The sequence below is a fragment of the Homo sapiens genome, chromosome 1, assembly GCF_000001405.40.
Source record: "Homo sapiens chromosome 1, GRCh38.p14 Primary Assembly".
In the NCBI taxonomy this organism is placed as follows: Eukaryota; Metazoa; Chordata; class Mammalia; order Primates; family Hominidae; genus Homo; species Homo sapiens.
The window spans coordinates 88061643-88085987 of NC_000001.11; the positions used below are offsets into that span (position 1 = coordinate 88061643).

General features: G+C 36.8%; 1 annotated feature.

Moving 5' to 3' along the window:
- Positions 8394-11065: an enhancer, noted in NCBI's record as "VISTA enhancer hs1198". NCBI's record gives its function as "enhancer in: other[4/6]" and the evidence as "EXISTENCE:transgenic organism evidence [ECO:0001131][PMID:17130149]".

A 24345-nucleotide genomic window follows, 5' to 3' on the forward strand; every position in this document is an offset into this window, starting at 1 on the left:
AGTCATACTGGCTCCCTCCAGTGGCTGACTGAGCTCTGATGAAAACACAGGGGCATTTCTGAAGGCCATACAGCCTAGTGGTTCCACATGGAATCACTTATTTCCAAGATAATGAGTTCAGATCCCTTTGTGAATTCCAACTCTCAGCATGCATTACTATTCCTGAAAATGTTTGATAAAGGTGTTAATTTTAATTAATCTACCCCATGGTCTCCCATCCAAATGGCCTATTTCACTGTTCCCATTTTATGGATGAAAAACAACCCATTGGAAGGTTGTGGAACAACTGGGAATGCTGGGAGGTCATGGTAATGCCTCACATGTGAGCATCAGGCCAGAGTGCTTGCATGGGGGCTTTCTCTTGGCTTAGAACAGACCCTTTCTCATTCTCTGACTTATTATTGTTAGATTCCAAAGGATGACAAATTGTAGAAATATTTAGGTTCCTTTTTTAAAGAGATCAGATATAATGCAGTGTGTCTTCAGCTTTAAGCTTAATGAAATGTCACATACACATTTGGAAATCCAGGTATCAATTATGAGTCTTACATTGTTTGAAATTTACAACTTTCACATTTATTTTTATTAGTAATATTTTAGTCCCTCAATATATTTCTCTGGCATTAATGGAAAAAACATGGTGCCTTCAAGCAGCCAAAATAATCTCTCTAAATTCCCACTGAGTTTAATCAAAGGCCATGCAATTTAATGGCTAAAGTTACTGCTATATATTTCCAGTGTGCTGGGTTCAAGTCCCATTAAATTAGGCTCTAATTAAAATTCATCTGAAATATTCTTTCATTGTGTAATTGTTTTTTAATTCTTAATGACTCACATTAACCTCCTTTTACTCAAAGGAAAAAAATAGGGAATTAAAAAAACAACAGCCAGGCAGGAAAAAGAACAGTTGAATTAGAGGATGATATGATGCTTTTATAAAATGCAGCCTGAGAATTGGGTGTGCAACACAGAAGATCAAGAGGAGACTTAATTAGGGCTCTACTGCTCAGTTCGTAGTTTTTGGGTCTTTATGAAAGCTAAGAGCATAGCTAAATCGTGTAATTTGCCATTATTTTCTCAGGTAGCTCTTACTGAAATGTTACTTTTCACTTGTATTTTTTTTTTTTTCATTTTGAGAGCATAGTATCAGACCTTGTATATACAGCTTGCCACTTGCCTGCTGTCAGAGACAGAAGTGACAACACTTGTCACTACCAATCTCCTCATGTCTGGTCTCATCTGAGCGATACATACAGCCTGATTTCCAGGTGTTTGTTGAAACTCCAAGTTACATAACATGTTTGCTGTGCTCAGAATGGAAAAAAAGCACCACTGTGGGAATAAATTCTTAGCTTTCTAGGAACAGTTAGTGTACCTAATACTGAATTAGTCCAATTCCAGATAATTGAAGGGAAAATTTGGAGACAGAAAGAGGAGGCATTGCAAAATTGATAGCCTCAGGGGTGGTCAAGTGACATTGATGGGAAATTTTTACAAACTTTTTAAAAAGCAAAGCAACATGAGTACATAGTTTAAGAAATTAACCACGATAAAAACACTGCATTTTTTTTTTTTAAAAGAACTACTAGTTCCTCTGGTCTCCAGCTTACCTACTATCCAAGAGCAGCCACTTTTTCAATAATTTTTATTATGTCTACTCCTGACCAATTATATTGTGATTTATTAGTTTTAAATAGTATATATTGATCTCTTATAATGGTAGATAAAGAGCTTAGCTTTTATCTCACACACACACACACACACACACACACACACCACACAGATGCACACAACCTCTTTCTCTCTTCCCTCAATCCTTGCAATAGAGCTTTATCAATTTGGAATTAAATCCACATGTATAATGCTATTGTTGTTACTATACACATATATTTCCTTCATAAGCCAAATAGTTGACACTACTTTGTTTTCTTGTACAACTGCTTATTTTCTAAAATTAATAATTGTTTTTCCTTTGCTTGGCTTCTTTTTATCTCTAATTATTCACTCATATTCCAAAGTGTGCCCCTTAATACAACTTCCCATCCAGTTAAACCTAATAAGTAATATATCTGTGCTCTCATCAAAACTCCCAGAATTCTACATTTTCTGGTTTCAATCTGTACTGGCAACTTCTAAGCCTGCTACATAGTAATTGCTTCCTATATTTGCCGTTGAGTCATCCTGGGAATTACTTTATCCTGTCTCCAATGTTAGATTTGTTTTTTAACAACCCTGTTTTGTTGGAACATATCCTCTAGTCGCTTCTAGGGAAAAGGTGAATTTAGAAATCTTTTTCCCCTTCAAACTTAAAATTATTGTTTTTCTCCTTTCTAGCTTGCAATATTGCAATATAGAAGTCCAATGCCACATCTTTATCTCTGGTGTTCTAAAATTTCATCATAATTCACTTTGTTGTAATCATTTTTCCAATCCTTGTTGTAGGCACATTGAGGGCCTTTATATTTTGAAGTTATGTTCTTCAATTTTAGGATTTTTTTGCATTTTTCTTAAAAATCACTTCTCCATCATTATCTCTTGAATGCCTCTTTATTATACGTTAGGCTTCATTTGTGGTTCTTCAAATTTTCTTTTCTTTTTTGCCTTTTCCTGTGTTCATTTCTTAATATTGCTTATTTTTCTGGAATTATTTTTTGACTGCAATTTATAACACTTTCATTAAAATTTTAGCTGCCATATATTAAGAATACTTTATTTTTCTCAAATTATTCTAGTTTTTAATAGCATTCTGTTGTTGATTTATGGTGAAATATCTTCTCCATCTCTCCAAAGATATTCATTCTTTCCATTGTCCACATTTTCTGTCAGTTCTGTTCTTTTGTTTATTTATGTCTCTTTATTTAAGTGTCTGATAATTCTTAGTTCTCTGTTCATAGTTAACCGTTAAAGAGTTTATGGAAAACCATGTATGTTGATTCAACTGTAAAATAATGGGCTTCTCTGTAGCACAAAAGAGTGACCAGTTAGGTTTTTCAATGGACCATCTGACTATTGTTATCTGTAGTTCTATAGTGATTTAATTTCTCAGGAGGATTCCTCCATTTCCCCTCTGCTGCTAGCATCTGGAGTTGGGCATAAGAGCAAAACATCTGGCATGGGGGTGGAGGAGGTGGTCTCAATATTCATTATTTTGCTATTAATAGTTACTCTTAATCCTAAAATTTTTAGTTCCCACCCATCCCAATTTTTATGTGTAGCTAGTATCCCTGAGCCCTCTCTAAGCATGTTGTTTTATTTTGGTGCTTTTAATTAAAAAATTGTTTTTTTCTGTTGTCATTATTGTTTTATGTCAAATATATCCACTTGAAGTAGCACTAGTATAAAAGAAGATATCATCAATATAATCTTTCATTCAACAAATAGTGAGTGCGGGATCACTTTTCATAGGCAACTACAGGTCCATCTGTTTCTTCTCTCTTCATTTCCCAGCCAACTTGAGTAGTCAATTTTAGTAAATATATGGACCTTTTAAGTTTTGCTTTTATATCCTGAGGATTTGGGACCAGAGAAACCTGTGCTTGGCCACTGTTTGACTATCTGTATGATGTTACATGACATTTCTGGATTTCAATGTTCTTATCATTAAAGTAAGCTAACTTCTGAGACTCTTCTTTCTCAACTGTAGCATGGGGATATAATATCTTTTATAGGTGTAATAATTACCTGACTAATAACATGTAAATTGCCTAGCACATAAATTTGTCCTAATTCCCTTTTCCCTGGAATCTTAATAGGTCATTGTATCAGGAATGATTAACTTTAGCTGTATATATTTTTTTAAAAAGGAAAATAGCTGAGGCTGAAACAAGATCTAGAGGGTCAATTCTATTTATGGCTGGAACTTAGGCTTTTTCTAGCTTTCTAACACTTAACAAATGGAAGTGACAATAATATTAGAAGGATGAAATGTGTATGAAGAACTTAGCATAATGAACACAAAAATGCATGATAACTGTTAAAAGGATAAAAAGTCAATCAGTCAGGTTAGTCATAACCAATTACCTGACAGATAATCTGGAAATATAGTTGGTTTATCATGAAGAATGCACCTACCAAAAATCTGATAGCAAATTCTTACTTATCTACAATTGTCTAGAGTGAAAACAAGCAACTTGGCAGTTCAAATTGTACCTCCAGCAACAAATCCCCCACTATTCCACTTTAGGGCATGCAATGCTACTCCCCTAATGTTGTTTCCCCCTCGTGGCACATAGTCTCAATCTATTGATTGGATTGAAGACGGTAAGAAAAACAATAATGATAATCTCTCTGCATACTCTACATGAGGGTATCTGCTCTGAAAACTTTATTCATCTCGTCTACATTAACATCAGTTAAGACTGGCTTTTGTCCCATTCTTAAAAGATACTTGGTTTCTGTCAAAATTGGAAATAACCTCAGTAAATTTTAGATTTAACTTTTGTCAGCATGCCATTGTTCTTTAGATATTTTCCCTCCAGGGCCTGGCAAAAATATTAAATTATTTCCAAGAAAAAATTATGATAACTTGAAGAATAAAAATGTTTTACTTTTCCTACAAGGTTTTTAATAATTTTCTGGAATGCTATAATTACTTTCTTCTAAATAGTAAGTGAAAGAATTTGCTAAAAATATCTCAGACCACTTTTTAGTTTTGCTTATTGTTCTGGAAACTTTGTTTCCTGAAACCATTTCAGAACCTATGGGATCCAAATAATTTATTAATGTGCACCAATTTTCATTATACTCTATGTAACTTGCAAAAAGCAAGATTTTCCACCTGTTACACTCAATTGTGTTGATCAACAAAAGGGCATATCTCCCCCATTCCATCTTGACAGAGATGGTTTCTTTCTTTCCAGTTCCAACCAAAGAGAGCAGTTTCAAACAGCCTGTGAAATCCAAGTAGATTTCTACCATACAGAAGTCTATTTCCTGATGGATTCTCTACCCTTTTTCCTGAATGATGGACAAAGAGTGATACGTGTTATGGATGGAAGATAGTGGCCAGCTCAGGATTGAGTGTCTTCAGAAATTATGTCCAAATGAATCATGGACTGAACCCATTTTGTTATACTAAAATTTCCTTTGTGCACTAGAGGTCATAAAAATGTTTCACTGCCAAATCTAGACCACTTTATCCTCCAATGAAATTATGATTTCTAAAGCACAAAATCTAAGAAAAACTCACATTGGGTAGCAAGCAAGGCCAGCCAGTTCATCAATAGCCAGGCATAAAAGTCTACATGTTTCATTTTGCCAATAAGCTTGTCTGCTTCATCTGGTGCCAACAACTCAATCCTCTGAACATCACATATTGAATAAAGGAACCTTTTCAAATCTACGGAATACTTCAGTTCTCATCTTTCTAATGTATCATCTGATACAAGGGTTCATTCTATCCTTCTAGAGTTAATAAATGATTACTGTACCAAGTCTGATATTCTGGAGGTGCTGAAGTAAAAACTGCCCCAAACGTCCCCTCAGGACAGTGGTTATTTTTTAAAACAAATTTACTGTGTATCCTGGAGTTTCTAGAAGTTCACTTATGCAGAAAACTGAATACAACATTCACCACTGAGGTTTTAACTTTCCATTCTTTGTCAACAATTGTATAATAAAGAGAAAATAGAGCCGTAATTATGCAGGAGGAAAATAACTCAATTTAAATAATTGCGTCTGCGAAATTCAACTCTGTTGTCATAAAATTTTTGACTAAGAATCCTACAAAAGAATTCACTCTGCTTGGTTTATTACTCAATAGAAATCTATGATAATCTGATAACAGCCACATTCCATATTGGAAATTTGTATGTTTCCATAGGTCTAAATTTGCTGATGACCTATTTCAAGAGGGCAATCAACCTTTACCAAACTCACTGAGTTCATTTTTCCCTCCTTTGCACCAGATTGAGAGAATATTAACAGGCCCTAGCAGAATCTTTATGCTAAGAAGAAGGGAAGAACTTGCTTTTTTGCCCTGTGTACAAGAAGAGAAGGACTGAACAATGGTCTACAAGGGAAGCTTGGTGTCAGATGTAGCAGAGGAGCATATATACGTGAGACAATTGTACCACATACACGATAGCAGGCCTTATTCTTTTCTGATGTGCAGTTCTTTATCCAGAGGATGCGGGCATCTGTGGCACAGGCCAGTAACAAATCAAAGTGGAGCTACTGAGCTTACCCTGAGTGGGAGGCATCAAGATTGATAGTGTGATGTCTGTGAGTGAGAGGTGCTGAAGGCTGATGGGGTGGTGAAAGGAGCTGATATATTTAGATTACTTTACATGTTATTGTTCAATGCAAAGCCCTTCACGTGTGTTAGAGAGTAATAGTTTCTCTTCTTTTAATGATCTTTTAGTAGGAGAATGGACCAGATGACCTCTATAGGTGTCTCTCCACAGGGTAAGTCCAAGTTCTATATTCTTGGTAAAGGTTTGCCTCTCTAGGCCTTATATGTGAAACAACAGACTTGTTTGATGAGTTGTCTGCTCTCAGGGAGTTTACAATCTATTGCTGGGATAAGAATGCAAACAAGAAATTTCTCAAAAGCAATATATGTCACTATGAAAAAAGAACAAAATATATTACAAGGAGATGTTTGTCACTTTGGTTTATTACTGTATTCCTAGTATCTCAGATAGTACCAATCACACTGTAGTTGTCCTATAAATATATTTGAATGGATGAATGAATGAGTGATTTCACACAAAATGTATTTAAGTCAAGATTAGAAGTTCCCAAACTGAATAGGTTTGCTCTCAAAAGATTACATACTGTATGATTCAGTTCATATAACACTATTGAAATAACACAATTATAGAAATTGTGAATGGATTACTGATTGCCAGGATTAGGCAGGGAAGGTGACTGTGGCTATATGAGGGTATTACAAGAGAAGTAGGGAGATGACTATGGCTATATGAGGGTATTACAAGAGATCCTTGTGATGGAATTATTCTGTATCTTGATTGTGGTGGTAGTCACACAGATTTATACATGTGATAAAATTCCATAGAACTAAATAAACGCATACACAAATGCATGTAAAACTGGTGAAATCTGAGTAATGTTGATAGAGTGTGTCAACGTCAATATTTTCTTTGTGATTTTGTGCCATAGTTATATAAAATATTAAAACTGAATGACACTGGGTGAATAATATGGTTTGGCTGTGTCCCCAACCAAATCTCATCTTGAATTGTAGTTCACATAATCCCCACATGCCGTGGGAGGGACCCGGTGGGAGGTAACTGAATCATGGAGGCAGCTAACCTCATGTTATTCTCCTGATAGTGAATGAATTCTCACGAGATCTGATGGTTTTATAAGGGGCTTTTCCCCTTTTTGCTCAGCACTTCTCCTTGCTGCCACCATATGAAGAATGATGTGTTTGAAGCTTCCCCTTCCGCCACGATTATAAGTTTCCTGAGGCCTCCCCAGCCATGCTGAACTGCGAGTCAATTGAACCTCTTTCCTTTATAAATTACCCAGTCTTGGGTATGTCTTTATTAGCAGTGGGAGAACAGACTAATACAGTGAAGGATATACAAGCTCTCTCTGCATTATTTCTTATAATTGTAGATGAATCTACAATTATTTCAAAATAAAAGTTTAGACACAATATCTGAATTGGTTTACTGGAGAAGGGTTCATGGAGAAGTGGGAATGAACTTGGCTTTGAAAAAATGGCAGGATTTGGATAGGAAGCGAGAAGAGTGCTTGGATGGTGTGGTGAATGGGCTAGAGAGTAGGCTATAAGAATCTCAAAGGAACAGTCATCCATGTGAATATGGAAGAAGCTGGCAGCATGGTTAATTTGGTGGCATGGTTTTTAGTAGCAAAAGTAGGAATTTTGAAGTTCAATCTCCCTCACCCTGTTGGCCAGTTCCTACACTGTCCTCTGTATGATGGCAGCAAACTCTCTAATCTCCGAATGTAGGGTTCCTCACTTGCATCACAGAGGGCATGATACTTTCTTGACAGTGATAGGAATATTAAACAAGCCAATGCATGTCAAGGGTCCAGCTCGGATTTTGGCTCACGATAGATATTTAGCAAATACAGATTCCTTTCTCCTGCCCTTAGACAAAGTCCTACAGGTAAAGCTAGGGTTCTTAGGTCAATCTCGAGGCAGGTTATCACACATTCGTAGCACTGCTCAGTGCTGGGGAAGCTGCATAATGGAGCAATGCCAGGAGGAGAAGCCTGTCACCCATTAGCCCTAAGCCACAGCAGAAGCCCAGTGTGGGCAGAGAATATGAGCGGGTGACGAGAAGTACCTTCAGTCTCTGGACTGGAAGGCACACCTGGCCTTGTGAGAGGAGAAAGACAAAGTTCTCAGAGCAGCCTGTCACAGCCAGAAGCTGTGACCACTGCTGCCTCTGCTTATGCTGCACAAGGCAAGGAAATAAAGCCAGGATGTCTTCTGGGCAGTGGCGGTGTGTCTATGCTGAGCCCAGGGCAGAGCTTCATTCCTTGTGCCCTGCACACGTCAGCCAGGATGGGAGCTGCTGGGAAAGCCAGCTGGCCGCATAAGGAGATTCCCCTTCAGCAACAGCAACAGCAGCAGCCGCAAGAACAAAACAGAAAACTTTTAAATAAAATGTTTGCTCACATACCAACAATTTTCTTAAATCTACATGGAAGATTAGTACCAATTTGGAGACAGATGAAAGATCTAAAATAATAACTTTCCAAGGAGTGTTTCTCCCTCATTTTCTCTAATTTCAAAATTCAAAATGATTACCATTTTAAAATCTTGGTTTGTGTGTGCGTGTGTATGTGTGTGTTTCCATGTGTATGTATGTGTGTGTTTTGTCTACAGTGAGTATTAGTACATTTTCTGCTATTTTCCTTCAAAGAAGAAAAACAGATTGGAGAGACGAAACTCTAAGCTGACAATATATAGTTTTGTAAATACAACATGTAACGATACAAGCATTTACCAACAGGCATTAGCTGTAACAATATGAATTCCATGGCTGAGCAGCATAAAACATATTTAGAGCCATTGCTCTACAGCATGCTACTGATGTCGTAGGATTGTGTTTATTGAGATGTACGGTGAAACCTAAGGAGCTGCTTGCACACAAGAAAGGAATCTAAATTGACTTCTCCAAATTTCTGCTGCTTTCAGGTAATAAAAATCTAACACTCTGGACTCTAAACAAAATCTTTGTCAAAATGAACAGTTAGTTTGAGATCTGGTCAGAAATGTCAGGCTAAGAAAATAAGTCAACATTTTTTGTGACGGTGGTAGTGGGTTTTTCTGTTGTGGTGGTGATTTTATTTTTGTATAGTTCCATTTGTTTTCTGTTTTTCACTGCTATTGATACATCAGGCATCCAGTCATGAAAAACAATGTCCATGTCACTAAAATGGCCTCCAGGCATTCAGTATATCTACATTGGGGTTAAACATCTCTGTGAAGATGTGACAGCACACCCTATAATAAAAGGTATTATTGAGTAATATAGACTTTCTGTAATAACCAAACAGTAAAGCATACAGCTTTTTAAAGGTCTCCCCATGGCTGATCTCATGACTCAAAGATAAGACACTGTGCTGCAAGCTAAGTAATAAAATCTCGAGGATACTCTGGGCTAGCTTGTGACAAATCATATCAAAGTATTATTAAAGAAAGAACTTGAGACCCAAGACTATTATTGATTCTTGACAGAATTTCTTATAAATAAAGTGTTGCAATCAGGTCCCCGACTTGCCAAGGTCCTGGTAGAATTCTTCCTATTATAGGGGAGGCTGCAAAATAGTAATGCTCCATTAGTGAGAGACGAAAGCCTCTGTGTGCAGCACCACAAGGATGGGTCATGGTCAAAAGAGAGCCAATAAGAACACAATTTCCAAAGGCCTTTTAAGGCCCTCTTTGCTGATCCCTTTTTGAAATGGGTAAAGCTGCCTCTGAGCTTCAACGCAAAGCAGCCTGTGCCCTGACTGTGTTCACAGAATGAATCTGTGACCCTTCAGAGCACTAAGGACACACCTCCATTAGTGTCCATATTCTTACAGGGAAGAGGTTGATACAGTCAACTGAAATGACAGGGTGATAAATATAAAACCACTATCATCAATAAGACTGGAATGTAAAAGCACTTAGTTTCAGCCTAAGTAACTCACAGAAAGTTTGGTTTCAAGAACCAATGCGTCATCCATCACTACTCTACCTTCTGTTGACAAAGTAATTGTACGATATCTAGAATGGAGGTTCAATACGAGCTGACATTTTTGAAAGGAGGAATTGTGTGCCGTACTTACTCATTAAATGTATTTTTCCTCTACTAAAGATGTTTCCTTTTTTAGTTTATGTATGAATAACTTTAACTAAAGTTCCCTTGACACTCTGACTTTGCTCTGAATAGCACCTATGTTCATTAACATAAAACCTGAAAGAAAATAATTTTAATGTAGTTTTTTTAACACTTCAAAAGCCTCTAACAAATTGATCGAGCACAATTATGCATTCTAAAGGGAATTATAAAGAGATCACAGAAGGTTGAAAAGTTCTAGTTAAAAAAATAAAAAAGAAAAACTTTGGGGTGATAAAGAAAAGAAAAATAGGCAGTTAATGTGAAACTACAAGATACATGAATAAAAGTAAACTTTGAATTTGTAGGTGTTTTTTACTTTTCTATAAATGCAGTGTTTGCAGAGAAGAATAAACAAGAACCCACACCAGGATAAGGCTCAGATAATTTGACAGAATAAGGTATATATTATTCAAATGTATGAACTCTGGAGTCAGACAGACCTGGGTTTGAATTTCTGCTCTGCCACTTACCTGCACGATCATGAGCAAATTATTTTTTTCTAAAACTCAGTTTCTTCATTTGTAACCAATGTGAGGATTAAATAATACTTTTTTGTGCTTTTAAAAAATGTATTATTTAATTGTTAAGCACTTAACGTTGCTTTATACACACGAGGCATCTAACAATTTGGTCCTCCCAATTCCCAAACCAAGCAAATCATGAGATGATTAGCTCTCTCTCTTAAATCTTACAGAACTTTTTTGAAAGAAGTAATTGTCCTCATTAAAGTTCCAGGGTAGGAATAAGACAAACTCTGCTCTGAGGTGGGTGCATCAACTCAGGCTTAAATTTCTACCCCTGTTTAATGGCAAGTGGAGCATTCTTGGCATTTCCTTGATCCATATATTTTTCTCGATCTTATTGCTTTTTGTAGAGTTTAGCTAAATCCCACCTCCTCCAAGGAGCCATTCCAGATTCTTCCAGTTTGATTCCCACTTCTCCAGGGGGATATTGTTGGACTTAATTTCCATTATATAGTGAGGTCTTAGAGGGTAACAGCCCTGTCTGGTGTGCCTTTGTCCTCACAGTACCTAGCCTTGGCCTTTGCTAATGATGAACACTCAAGAAATACACCTTGAATGTCTACTGATACGCTATCTTATAAGACCAAGTTAGGGATAAAGTCCCAGAACTTGAAATAAAATCCCTAATTCCCAGATGAACCATGCCCCTAGCTCTTTGTTCATTCTGCAGATGTAGTCATTGTGATCACCATACCCAGTCACTGAAATTCAGGCAGCCAATCAAAACCATTTACTGAGCCCCAAAGTGTTGTAAATAAGGGATATGCAAGATAAATAAAAAGCTGTACACCAACCTTTGAGAAACTTACTATCTTGCTAAGAAAATATACATGAGGGGGATGTTAAAAACACACCACCACCATATGTAGGTTATAAATCTTAGGCTGCCAGGCAATAAACCTCAGCGGATATGTTCCCCCATTGCCCCGGGCCATTGTATACAAGTTATAGTACAGAGAGTGTATCAGTAAAACTATATTGGACCTGTTGCTCTGCATGAGTTTAGATTTATATTTAGCTCGAAAGTCCAGGCAAGCAGGACAAATCTCCTCTCTTTTTTTTAAATTACAGCCTTCCTAGTGGTTACAGACATGAGTGCTGGAGACAGTCTGCCTTGGTCAGCACCTCAGTTCCCTTTTTCACTTGTTTGGCCTTGGACAAGTCACTTAACTTCTTGATCTATCACTTTCCTCATCTGTAAAATGGGAGTAAAAATCGGATGTTCCTCATAGCATTTTGGGGTTGATTAATTTGGTAAATTCAAGTCAAGCACTTACAACATTACCTGTCACACAGTGAGCACTTAATACACACTGTTTATCATTAATTGTTTCTTGGAAGCAGCGCATTTTGGCAAGAACACTGTTCACTAAGGCTGTTGATTCCATGGCAAAAGTTATTCTCCAAAATTGAAAAACTTATCCTAGGCCTTATTGCTGGTTGGATTTTTCTTGCTTATTGATGAAAATTGCAAGGAAATAAAGAAGAGTGAGACAGGAGGGGCTAAAAGTTGTGACCCTTAGAAATTTCATGAGAAGTGTAAAATGGAGCAATGAAGACAGTGGTGATACCATAGAGGTTGTCCATCATTTATCTGAGAGAAGGGGGAGAGCAGTTAACTGTAAACCTCAGGCATGTGTTGATCTTGCAGTTTTAACAGTTTGCCAGTACTTGACATGCACATACCTATATACTTCCAAAAAATCCTCATTACAACTTTTATTATCTCCATTTTGGAATTTAGAATATGGAGACTCCGGGAATTTAGGTGACTTGTCCAAGGTGAGACAAACAGCATGTGTTGAGTCCATTATTGGCTTCTGTCTAACCCCAAACCCTTTAGTCTTGCAAAGACACTCTTATAAAATAGTTCTTCAAGTAGAAGAAGAATCACTTTACCATGAATTAAATTTAGGGCCTACCTTTCACCCTGCACATAGGTTACAGCCACCAGTAAATTTCTCCTGAAATCTAGAAAGCAACTGGCTTTAAACAGAATCCAGTGTATATATCATTTGTACAAAGCGGAGAACCTTTGATTCTTAACCTTGAAACTTCCTCTGCCCCAACACAACATTTAAGAGAAAAAAAGCAAATATTCTTTTGCTGTTTAGATGCTCTGTTGCCTGCCTTCTGCAGCAGCATTGAGGTCCCTGGAGCACCTGAACCCATTTATATTCCATCTGTTTCTTGCCTTCCTAAAGCAATTTTATTGCGCCCCAGAAGGCTTTGCTTCTCTCAGAGAGGGGAGAAGCACTCAAAGACATACAGCATGCACCAGAGACTTTGCAGGTAGGCAAGAAAGATAAACAGGTTCAAGAGCCAGGAACACAGATATCTGAGCCTGTAGCACTTAGACATGCATTGGCCTACCCGATTCTTGGCTGCAAGATTACCACTCAAAGAGACCTGTACCTAGGAGTCCACTCTGTGGGGAGAAAGCTGAACTTTTCATATGGTGGGTGAAACTCAGAGTGCTACTAAGAGACAGAGAGGAGAAAGGCATGCAAATTGATGGGAAGGTAGATTCTCATACATCTTGTTAAAATATAAAGAAGTACTGGAATGCTATATGGCCACTGAGTGCTGAGAGGGCTTGGCAAATCACTTTTCTCACTGAGAATGGCCTCAAGCTCGTCCTCCTGAAGCAAGAACATCTAAAGCCTATCCGTTTTGGTCCTTCAGGGGTGGATGTTGGCTGCTCCTGGGGAAAGGCTCCCCTGTGAAACCCTTGAAAGTGTTTCCCTGGAGCCATGCCTGGTTTAATGGCTCCTGTTTAGATGCAGTTATGACTGGCTTAGGAACCTGGGGGAGTGTGGAATCAGCAGGGGTAGGGATATGCAGTAGAGGGCAAAGGGGACTTGTTCATAGTTTTTCATGTATCTGGAAACAGCGCTCAACATGGACTTCTCTTATTCCGAATTGTTATGGGAGTCAATTATTCCACCTATTAGGTTTTAATGTAGCACCAATAAGTCAAAACCAGTTTAACAACTAAGAATTATAGTTGGTATAAAACGTTTGAATTTAGGCTAATAACATATACTAAGTTATAGACAGATGAGATTTAAAATGACTAAGGTAAGAAATTGGGTTCATAATGGACACATTAATAGGCCACTAAACTGACTTTAAAGGCTCTGGCAGGCACATTCAAGACACCAAATATATAAAAACTCCATCCATCCTGAGCTTCCTCATCATGTCACCTAATAGAATTTCAAACACTATTAGCACACTGATAAATGGTTATTATATATTACCCATGCATGCTGCCTTATGAATTAAAAGACAAGCACAAGCATCAGGCATTTGTTGTATTGGGTAATTTTTCTTTATTCTTGATTATGAAATACTGAGTTTTACTTCCCCAGGTTGTTTCAGGAGCCATGAACCCCTTTCTAATTTCAGAAAACAAACATAAAAACCTTTTGTAACCAGAATGACCACATCTATGACGGGACAAATATTCAGAATAGCTTGAGAGAAAGCCATCCAGGGCAGCTGCTGTGGCACTCAGCTGACCAATATCTGAGGCCAGACCTAACTCTCCATTGCCACATCTGCCAGGCCAAGGACCATCATTCATTTACTCACCAAACATTTTTTTTGAGCAACTACTCTAACCTGAATGTTGTTCTAATCACTGTCAATATGACAGCAAACAAAATAGACATGATTTGTGCACTCATGGTGCTTGAGGTTTTGTGGGAGAGATAGGCACTTAACAGCCGAAAACTTGTTAATTACACATATAATTACTATGTGGGACCTATGGAAGACAGAGAGAAGAAGAATTCTCTGAGAAATGGCAGTTAATCAGAAATCTGAATACGATTTATTCAAGTAAAGAAGAAATATATATTTAAATTTCTGAAGCAGAAAGCTCTTATGCTCACCAAAAGAAGTGGATTATGACTAACAGAGGACACTTCATGAAGATCAGGCCAAGGACTTAGGGTTTTGTCCTAAGAGCAACGGAGGTCACTGAAGAGATTTAAGCAGGGGAGCCATGTGGTTAAATTTGAGTTTTTAAAAACACTACTATTACTGTTATATGAAAAATGTGTTGATGGGATCAAGAGGAACAGCTAGAAGTGTAACTAGGGAGCTATTTCAGTAATCCATCTGTGTGATGATCGAGGCTTGCATCAAGATCAAGATGCCAATGGTGGAAATAAAGAACACTGAAAGGATTCAATATCCATTTTGAAAGTGGGGTCAACGAGACCTGTGATGGACAGGAAAGAGGGATGAAAAGAGAGGCAGATGTCAAGAGCTACTTCCAGAGTTCCAGCATGAGGAACTGGATGGACAGAGATGCCATTTAGCCCCCTGAGCTTACAGAGATATAAATCCATAAGGAAATTCCACTGACAGTACATCAATGCCTTGTCTATTGCAATAGCTTACTTTTCTGGGAGACTCATTGATGTAGAACTGAGTCAAGTAAGAGATAATACTTCCATGGAAGCCAAAATACACATCATAAAATCTATGAGCTTTGATGGAGAAAAGTTCCTAAACTCTCAATCAAAACCATCTATTTACTCTTCCTCTTAACATAACTTTCTTACATAGCACTTACATGGCCATAAAATAATGACATAAAGCAAAATACAGAAACAAATGAATGACCCCACAGAGTAGGTAGAAACATACATAAGAACATGGAAACAACATGAGAGTATGCAGTTTGCAATGTGAAAAAAATATTTGTGTGATATGGAAAGTTTTCATTGTGTTGATCATATTTACCCAAGAAAAATACACCTTCACTGAATTTTCCTATATGTTTTTATTCATTAGAATAATTTCTATTATTGCTTTTATTTCCTTCTTTGTTTTTTGTCCTTTTCAGTTATTCTCTCTTTCCCTGTCGTTCTTATCTTTACGTTCTTTTTCCTTGGCAATTAGAAAATTAGACTTTCAATATTTATAATTAGATCTATGAAAAAAGACACAGTGAAGGTTGTAGAGAGTTTCTCAAAAGTCAGCTAATATACAAAGAAGACTGTAATAATCATTCTGAATTCTCAATGAAGTATCACTATGATCTCTTTAAAAATAAAGAGACTAATTTATCTTTGTATCCTCAGATCTTAGCATATACCTAGAAAAATTGATTTAAAATTTCTTGAGGGAATGGGTATAATGATAGTCTAAGCAAATAAAATTGAATCTTTGGGAACAGTGATGAGGTCTATTTGGCAAAGACAGTTTGTCAGGGTAGTCAGTGGGAGGGCAACTTACACGAAAGAGATAGGGGAAAGTTTTAGATTAGGTGTTAGAAGGCCTTCTTCTTTTTTTTTTTTTTTTTTTTTTTTGGAGATGGAGTCTCGCTTTGTCGCCCAGGCTGGAGTGCAGTGGCACGATCTCAGCTCACTGCAACCTCCGCCTCCCAGGTTCAAGTGATTCTCCTGCCTCAGCCTCCCAAGTAGCTGGGATTACAGGCACTTACCACCACACCTGGCTAATTTTTGTATTTTTAGTAGAGACGAGGTTTCATCATGTTGGTCAGGCTGGTCTCGATCTCCTGACCTCGTGATCCACCCGCCTCAGCCTCCCAAATTGCTGAGATTACAGGCATGAGCCACCGCGCCCAGCCCTAGAAGGCCTTCTAAAAGTCAGAGTAAACTATTTTTTTTTCATGTTATATTGCCCAGGAAAATTGTGGCATCACTTTCCTTTGGAATTTAATTGAATTTGATATTTTATTATTGTATAAATAATATTACAAGAAATTGAAACAAAAAGAAAACACAAATCCAAGTCTCTAGCAATTGAACACATCAAATTAAACTCCCATTTATGTGAGTTTTTCCCTAGTCCCTGCCTACAACACACAAACACACACACACACACACACACACACACACACACACAAACTAATATCTGAGGTAATCATAGCATGTATACAATTAAGCATTTTCTTTTGTGTAATATTATATCATAAACTTGTACAAAATTTTCAGTCATGATTTTAATGCATTAAAAAGTCCATCAATTTGAAAATGATCCAATCACCTATCTGCATTTCAAAAATTCATTAAAATAACAATGAAAATATATCAAGAGGAAGACATCAATATCTATTAATTCACATGTTGTTCATCCATTAATTCAACAAATATTTATTGAATGCCAATCATATGTCAGACACTTTCATAGACTCTGGGTACACCATGGGAATTAGAGTTTATTTCTGCTCTCATAGTGATTACAATTTAATGAGATGGAGAGACATTCTTCGCAGGGAAGCACAGAAAGAGTCAATCTTGGAGTTGACAGGCATGAGGATCAGGAGTGGGCTTTGGTACATAGGTTCAGGACAATTAAATAAAAATATTTCTATAAAAGAGCTGGGACTGGTGATTCCTCCACCTCCTACAAGGGTAAAGAGTAGCATTTGCCTCCACTTTAATCAAGTCCTTGGGAGTTGATTTCTAAACTTGTCTTTCCAAGAGTCCTTACTGGAGAACTGGGAATAGAGAAAAGAGACCAGAGCTAGAGATAACTCTAGACCCACACAACAGTCCAAAGTGTGAGTGGAGTTGCGGGGTGGGAAGAAAAGACAGCTCCAGGCTGGCACAGGAATGAAATAAATAAATTACTTTATTCTGTCCTCAGAGTAAACTCTCCCTTTCAATGGTGATGTTGGGAGAACTGATGCTACATGCCTATTTCCTTCCTACACATTCCACAGGGAAGCTTGACTGTCAGAAGCACAGCCCCCTGGTGGCCTTACCAGGAAGAGGAGGGGGCCTTTGGTAAATCAAGTAATGACCACAAAAATCTTACCATTAACTTATGCTAATTGCATGATCCTCATTTATCCATGTTGACAGTTACCTAACCAATAGCATAAAATAAGGTTATCAAAAATAAACAAATAGAACAAATGACCCTAGGGAAGTGGAGCTAGTGTTAAGAACAGAAGAAAACATAAAAATTTGATTGGTATCCTAGTATATATTCAAGAAGATATTATATCCCTAAAACACAATTAGACCACTCCAAAAAGAAGTAATCAGGAAGTAAGACAGACTTTTAAGAAATTAAATAAGATTTCTAAAAGGTAAAGAAATGAATAAAAGAACTCAATAATGAATGAACACGGCTGAAAAATGAACTTGAGTGATTTGGAAGATAGGGTTGAGAAAAATACTCCAGAACTAAATAACAAAGGAATGGAAACTATGGGACAATGCTTCATCAAATGCCAATTCAGAACAGATCAAAGTATCTAGAATTCTTGAGGGAAATAATATTCTTTCCCACACATGGGAAATACAGTCAAATAAATGATAGAAAAAAATTTGACTGAGCTAAAGGCACAACTGATTACGCAAATTGAAATCCTAGATGCATTTTTATAAAATTTCAGAACTTAAGAGCAATGAGAAATCCTAAGAAGTCCCAGAGAGAAAAAATAGATTATCAACAAAGGACAAAAAATATACCAACATTACACTTTTTAATCAGAAGTAAAAGCTAGTTAACAGGCAACTTTAAAGTTTTAGCCAAACTGTCATTTCTGTTGGAGAACTCATACAAGCCTTCTCTTAGAAAAAAAAAAAAAAAGTAAAAGAAATTACTAGAGGATGCACTTCAATGAAACAAAACAGGAATCCTGAAATTATGACATGGAATTGAAACACAATGGTACTAACACAGGGCAATACAAAAAGACAGTAATTGTGCAGCAGCCCTAATAAGCAATGTGTAAAATCAGTGAGAGTGCTATGTAAAAAATATCTTTAATAAGCAACTTGATTCTTTTACAAATTGCATAATCCAAAAATGAAAGTTCTCTATGATAACATAAAATCACTTGCGTTTTCCCTATCTCAATATGAAAAATAAAGGTATTTAGCAATTCTACGAATAAATAGATGCAATGAAAGCCATCATCCAAACAATGCGCTCATTCTAAGGAAGTTAACAAGTATAGCCAGGAAAATAGACTCTGTTTGCTCTTGATGCTTAGACTCAACAGTCTCCTTTAAGTGGTGGAAATTGAAATTGTCCAAAGATGGACATATACTTCTCTGTGAATCCAATCACTTCACTTCGTTGTGCTGGAAATAATATTTATATTACAATGATATTACATAGGTGTTGATTTTCAATTTATAAAATCAACTTACAGAGACAAACCAAAGAAGACAATTATAATTACAAGACATATAAGAGTAATAGTATAATTAATTGTACTGGGATCTGAAGAAAGGGAGAGAAAAATAGATGAAAAAAAGTAGGCTCATTAATTTCCTCACTTATCTAGTTAAGACTCAATAGATGCTCTCTAAATTGATGAATAAAGAATAAATAAAAGCCTAGATATATTATTTAGTTATAAATGTAATGGCTAGAAGTACTAATAATATAACTAATAAAACTGAGAGATAAGTGTGTTAAAATCCCAATGTTTTATAGTTTGGCATAAATAGATGCAGTCTAAAGTTGATAAATTGGGAAACAGATATATAAATATATTATTTAGAATTTATGTAGCAATTCATGGTGGATGAACCTTGACTCTCATTACAGCCTGTTGTATTGTTTGTTTATAGCAGATGACTCAGGAAAATAGCTCTCAGTAATATGTGATAAAAGAACTCATAACTGTCATTCAATTTCAAGTCTAATTTCTCTAGGAGGAAAAGATTGCCTTTTTTTTTTTTTTTTTTTTTTTTGGAGATAGTCTTGCTTTGTCACCCAGTCTATGGTTTGTGTGTGTGTGGTAGCCTGACTTTAATTCCCATGAGAAGCAGAAACTGACAAAATGTCCAGCTCAGATGCAATGAGGAGCAAAGCAGAGCCACCTTAAGCAGAAACAACTGGTGACTCAAGGAATTTTCAAAGGAAAATGGGCTACTTGGGGGAGTATTCAAAGCACTGTGAAAACCATATATCCTAGTCTTGGTTCCTGATAATGTGTTCTGGATATGGCAAAGTAGGAAGAATCTTATAAAGACCTTTCAAAGTTTAGGTACCCTTCTCATGCTTTTGGGACTTGAGTTTTGCTAGTTATTCCATTTTTTAAATCAAACACATTTATCCGATTTTGAGAAAAGATTTTATTTGAAGTAATCAATGATAATCATCCATCAAATTCCATTTTGATCCACTCTGGACTTTTTTTTAAGAGGCAGAGTCTTGCCATGCTACCCAGGCTGAAGTCCTGTGGCTATTCACAGGCACAATCACAGTGCACTACAGCCGGCAACTCTTGGGTTCAAGTGATCATCCTGTTTCCGCCTTATAAACAGATAGGACTACAGGTGTGTGCCACTGCACTCAGCTCTCACTCTGAACAATTTAAATGCCACTTTAAAGAAAATCCAAGTCTGCTGTTAGGACCCTCTCTCTTAAGAATATTTTGCAAAGAAAAGCATAAAAAGAGACTGTGCTCAGATGCTCAAGACAGCACATTAGACATGTATCACCAGGAGCTAGAGCTGCACAGGGCTGTGCTTACACCTGCTGCCCTATGTTTCTCAATGTGCATGCAATGTGGGGCCAGACAGACAAGATGACTGGTCATGCTTCCCTTAAAAACTGTGTGCCTCTTGACAATTGCAAAGCCTCTCCAAGCCTCATTTGCTCATCTGTAAAGTGGACATATTAAAGACAATTAGATACAACCTACCTCATTGATTTATAATGGTACTCGAATAAGATCATTTGTTAATGGTTCTTTATAAATTTAATATATTGTTGTTATTATTATTACCATTCATATCATCATGGGATAGATTTTAAGAAAACTCTTTCACTTGGCTCATTTTTCTTTCTTTTGCTCTTGCCTAGCATTGAGTATATCGATGGCATAAGATTTCAAATGGTTATGCCAGCTCATTGGCTTTTCTTCTCCAAGATCAAAAAGGCTCTTCATCTTGACCACACCAGTGAAATGGAATTTAAGTTTCCTTGCTAAAGCATAACATCAGAGTTCCAATTAGGAATTTTTGCGGCTGGCTACTTCCATAATTAGACACATTTGGTGGTTCCTTTTATTACCCTCCATTCTCAAGTCCTTCATCTTATATTACTTCTCTATGTGTCTCTCTCTAAAGTCAATGGCTTACACATTTCTGTATCTCTTTGATTTGCCAGTTTCTGTGGTCCGTTGTCTCCTACGTATCCTCTTGCATCATTAGTAAACTATCATTAGATGCTTAATAAATTACTAGAATTTATTAGAATCCCTTTCAAACAAAGCATTTTGAAGTGCCAATTACTGATTGGTATGGCCTGGTAAAACTATTTTTTATTAAATCAGGCTTATGAATATAGATAGGAAATACACCCTTTGTGATAGGTAGATCTCTGAATCAAATTGAGAATGTTTCTCCAAGCATTTTTCACATCTCTTTAGCCATCCAGAACTATGAATTTTATAATATTTAACCTTCTATATATTTTATAGTTAATAAGGGGATTAAAAATTAAGTAAAATGAGAGTCATCTATTATTGTATTAGGTTGCAATACTGCACAAAGTACTATAAAAAGCATTGAAAAATACAAATTATTTCAGAAGACTAATTAAAGAAGAACTCAAGTACCCTAATTCTACACACCATTATATTTTTAAAATAACCCATGAAACAAAGAATTTGGTTTGTTGTTGCTTTTCCAAAGAAGCATGTGGTAATTTTAACATGGCTTATGGCAATGCATTAATTGCATAAAATATCATTTCTGGGACTCAGTCTGCAATTCTCTTCTCTATCTACACTCACTCCCTCAGTGATCCTATTTATTTTTGTGGCTATAAGTACCACCTCTATACTCTTAATTTCCCACTTGTATTCTTGTCCCAACCAGACCTCAATGCATACGTCCAAATACTGACTTCACTTTACACCTGGATGTGTAATAGTCAATTCAAACTTAACATTTACAAACAAAGTGAACTCCCCATTCTTCCCACCAAGTACTCCTCTCACAATGCTCCTCATACCTGTACAGGGTGCCAACATTCATTTAGAGGCTAATATTAAAATCTTGGATTCATCCTTGATTCCTCTCTTTCTCTCACTTCCCACATTCAATTCATCAACATATCTTGTCAAATACACATTTAAAATATTTCCCAAGTGGACCATTTCTCACCATATCTACACATTTCATCCCAATCCAAACACTATCACCTTGTATCTGACAATAGCAATGGCTTCTTAGCAGGTTTGCTGCCTCTATTCTTACTCTATACTGTCTATTCTCCACATAGCAGCTAAATGACCTTTTTTGTTGTCATTCAGGGGATTTTTCTTTATTTCTTCTAAAAAAAAAAGGGATACATGTGTAGAATATGCAGGTTTGTTACATAGGTATACATGTGCCATGGTGGTTGGCTGCACCTATTGACCCATCCTCTAAATTCCCTCCCCTTGCCTCCCATCCCCCAACAGGCACTGGTATGTATTGTTCCCCTCTCTGTGTCCATGTTTTCTCAATGTTCAACTCCCACTTGTGAGTGAGAACATGCAGTGTTTGGTTTTCTGTTCCTGTGTTAGTTTGCTGAGGATGATGGCTTCCAGCTTCATCCATGTCCCTGCATAGGACAAGATTTCATTCCTTTTTAAGGCTGCATAATATTCCATGGTGTATGTGTACCACATTTTCTTTATTGAGTCTATCACTGATGGGCATTTGGGTTGGTCCCATGTCTTTGCTATTGTAAATAGTGCTGCAATAAACATACATGTGCATGTGTCTTTATAGTAGAATGATTTATATTTCTTTGGGTATATACCCAGGAATGGGATTGCTGAGTCAAACGGTATTTCTGGTTCTAGATCCTTGAGGAATTACCATACTGTCTTCCACAATGGTTGAACTAATTTACATTCCCACCAAACGTGTAAAAGAGTTCCTATTTCTCCACAGCCTCACCATCATGTTTTGTTTCCTGACTTTTTAATAATCGCCATTCTGACTGGCGTGATATGGTGTCTCATTGTGGTTTTGATTTGCATTTCTCTGATGATCAGTGATGTTGAGCTTTTTTTCATGTTTGTTGGCCACATAAATGTCTTCTTTTGAGAAGTGTCTGTTCATGTCCCTTGCCCACTTTTTGATGGGGTTGTTTTTTTCTTGTAAATATGTTTCAGTTCCTTGTAAATTCTGGATATCACACCTTTGTCAGATGGGTAGATTGCAAACATTTTCTCCCATTGTGTAGGTTGCCTGTTCACTCTGATGATAGTTTCTTTTGCTGCGCAGAGCTCTTTAGTTTAATTAGATTCCATTTGTCAATTTTGGCTTTTGTTGCAATTACTTTTGGCATTTTCATCATGAAGTCTTTGCCCATGCCTATGTCCTGAATGGTATTGCCTAGGTTTTCTTCTAGGGTTTTTATGGTTTTGGGTTTTACATTTAAGTCTTTAATCCAACTTGAGTTAATTTTTGTATAAGGTGTAAGGTAGGGATCCAGTTTCAGTTTTCTGCAAATGGCTAGCTAGTTTTCCCAGCACCATTTACTGAATAGGGGATCCTTTCCCCATTGCTTATTTTTGCCACGTTTGTCAAAGATCAGATTGTTGTAAATGTGTGGTGTTATTTCTCAGGTCTCTGTTCTGCTCCATTGGTCTATATGTCTGTTTTGGTACCAGTACCATGCTGTTTTGGTTACTGTAGCCTTGTAATATAGTTTAAATTCAGGTAGTGTGATGCTTCCAGCTTTGTTCTTTTTGCTTAGGATTGTCTTGGCTATACAGGGTCTTCTTTGATTCCACATAAAATAGTTTTTCTAATTCTGTAAAGAATGTCAATGGTAGTTGGATGGGAATAGCATTGAATCTATAAATTACTTTGGGCAGTATGGCCATTTACACGATATTGATTCTTCCTATTCATAAGCATGGAATTTTTTTTCATTTGTTTATGTCCTCTCTTCTTTCCTTGAGCAGTGGTTTGTAGTTCTCCTTGAAGAGGTCCTTCACATCCCTTGTTAGCTCTATTCCTAGGTATTTTATTCTCTTTGTAGAACTTGTGAATGGAAGTTCATTCATGATTTGGCTCTCTGTTTGCCTATTGTTGGTGTAAAGGAATGCTTGTGATTTTTGTACATTGATTTTGTATCCTGAGACTTTGCTGAAGTTGATTATCAGTTCAAGAACTTTTGGGGCTGAGATGATGGGGTTTTCTAAATATAAAATCATTTCGTCTTTAAACAGAGACAACTTAACTTCCTCTCTTCCTATTTGAATACCCTTTATTTCTTTCTCTTGCCTGACTCCCCTGGCCAGAACTTCCAATGCTATGTTGAATAGGAGTGGTGAGAGAGGGCATCCTTGTCTTGTGATGGTTTTCAAAGGGAATGCTTGAGTTTTTTGCCCATTCAATATGATATTGGCTGTGGGTGTGTCATAAATTGCTCTTATTATTTTGAGATATGTTCCATCAATACCTAGTTTATTGAGAGTTTTTAACATGAAGGGATGTTGAATTTTATCAAAGGCCTTTTCTGCATCTATTGAG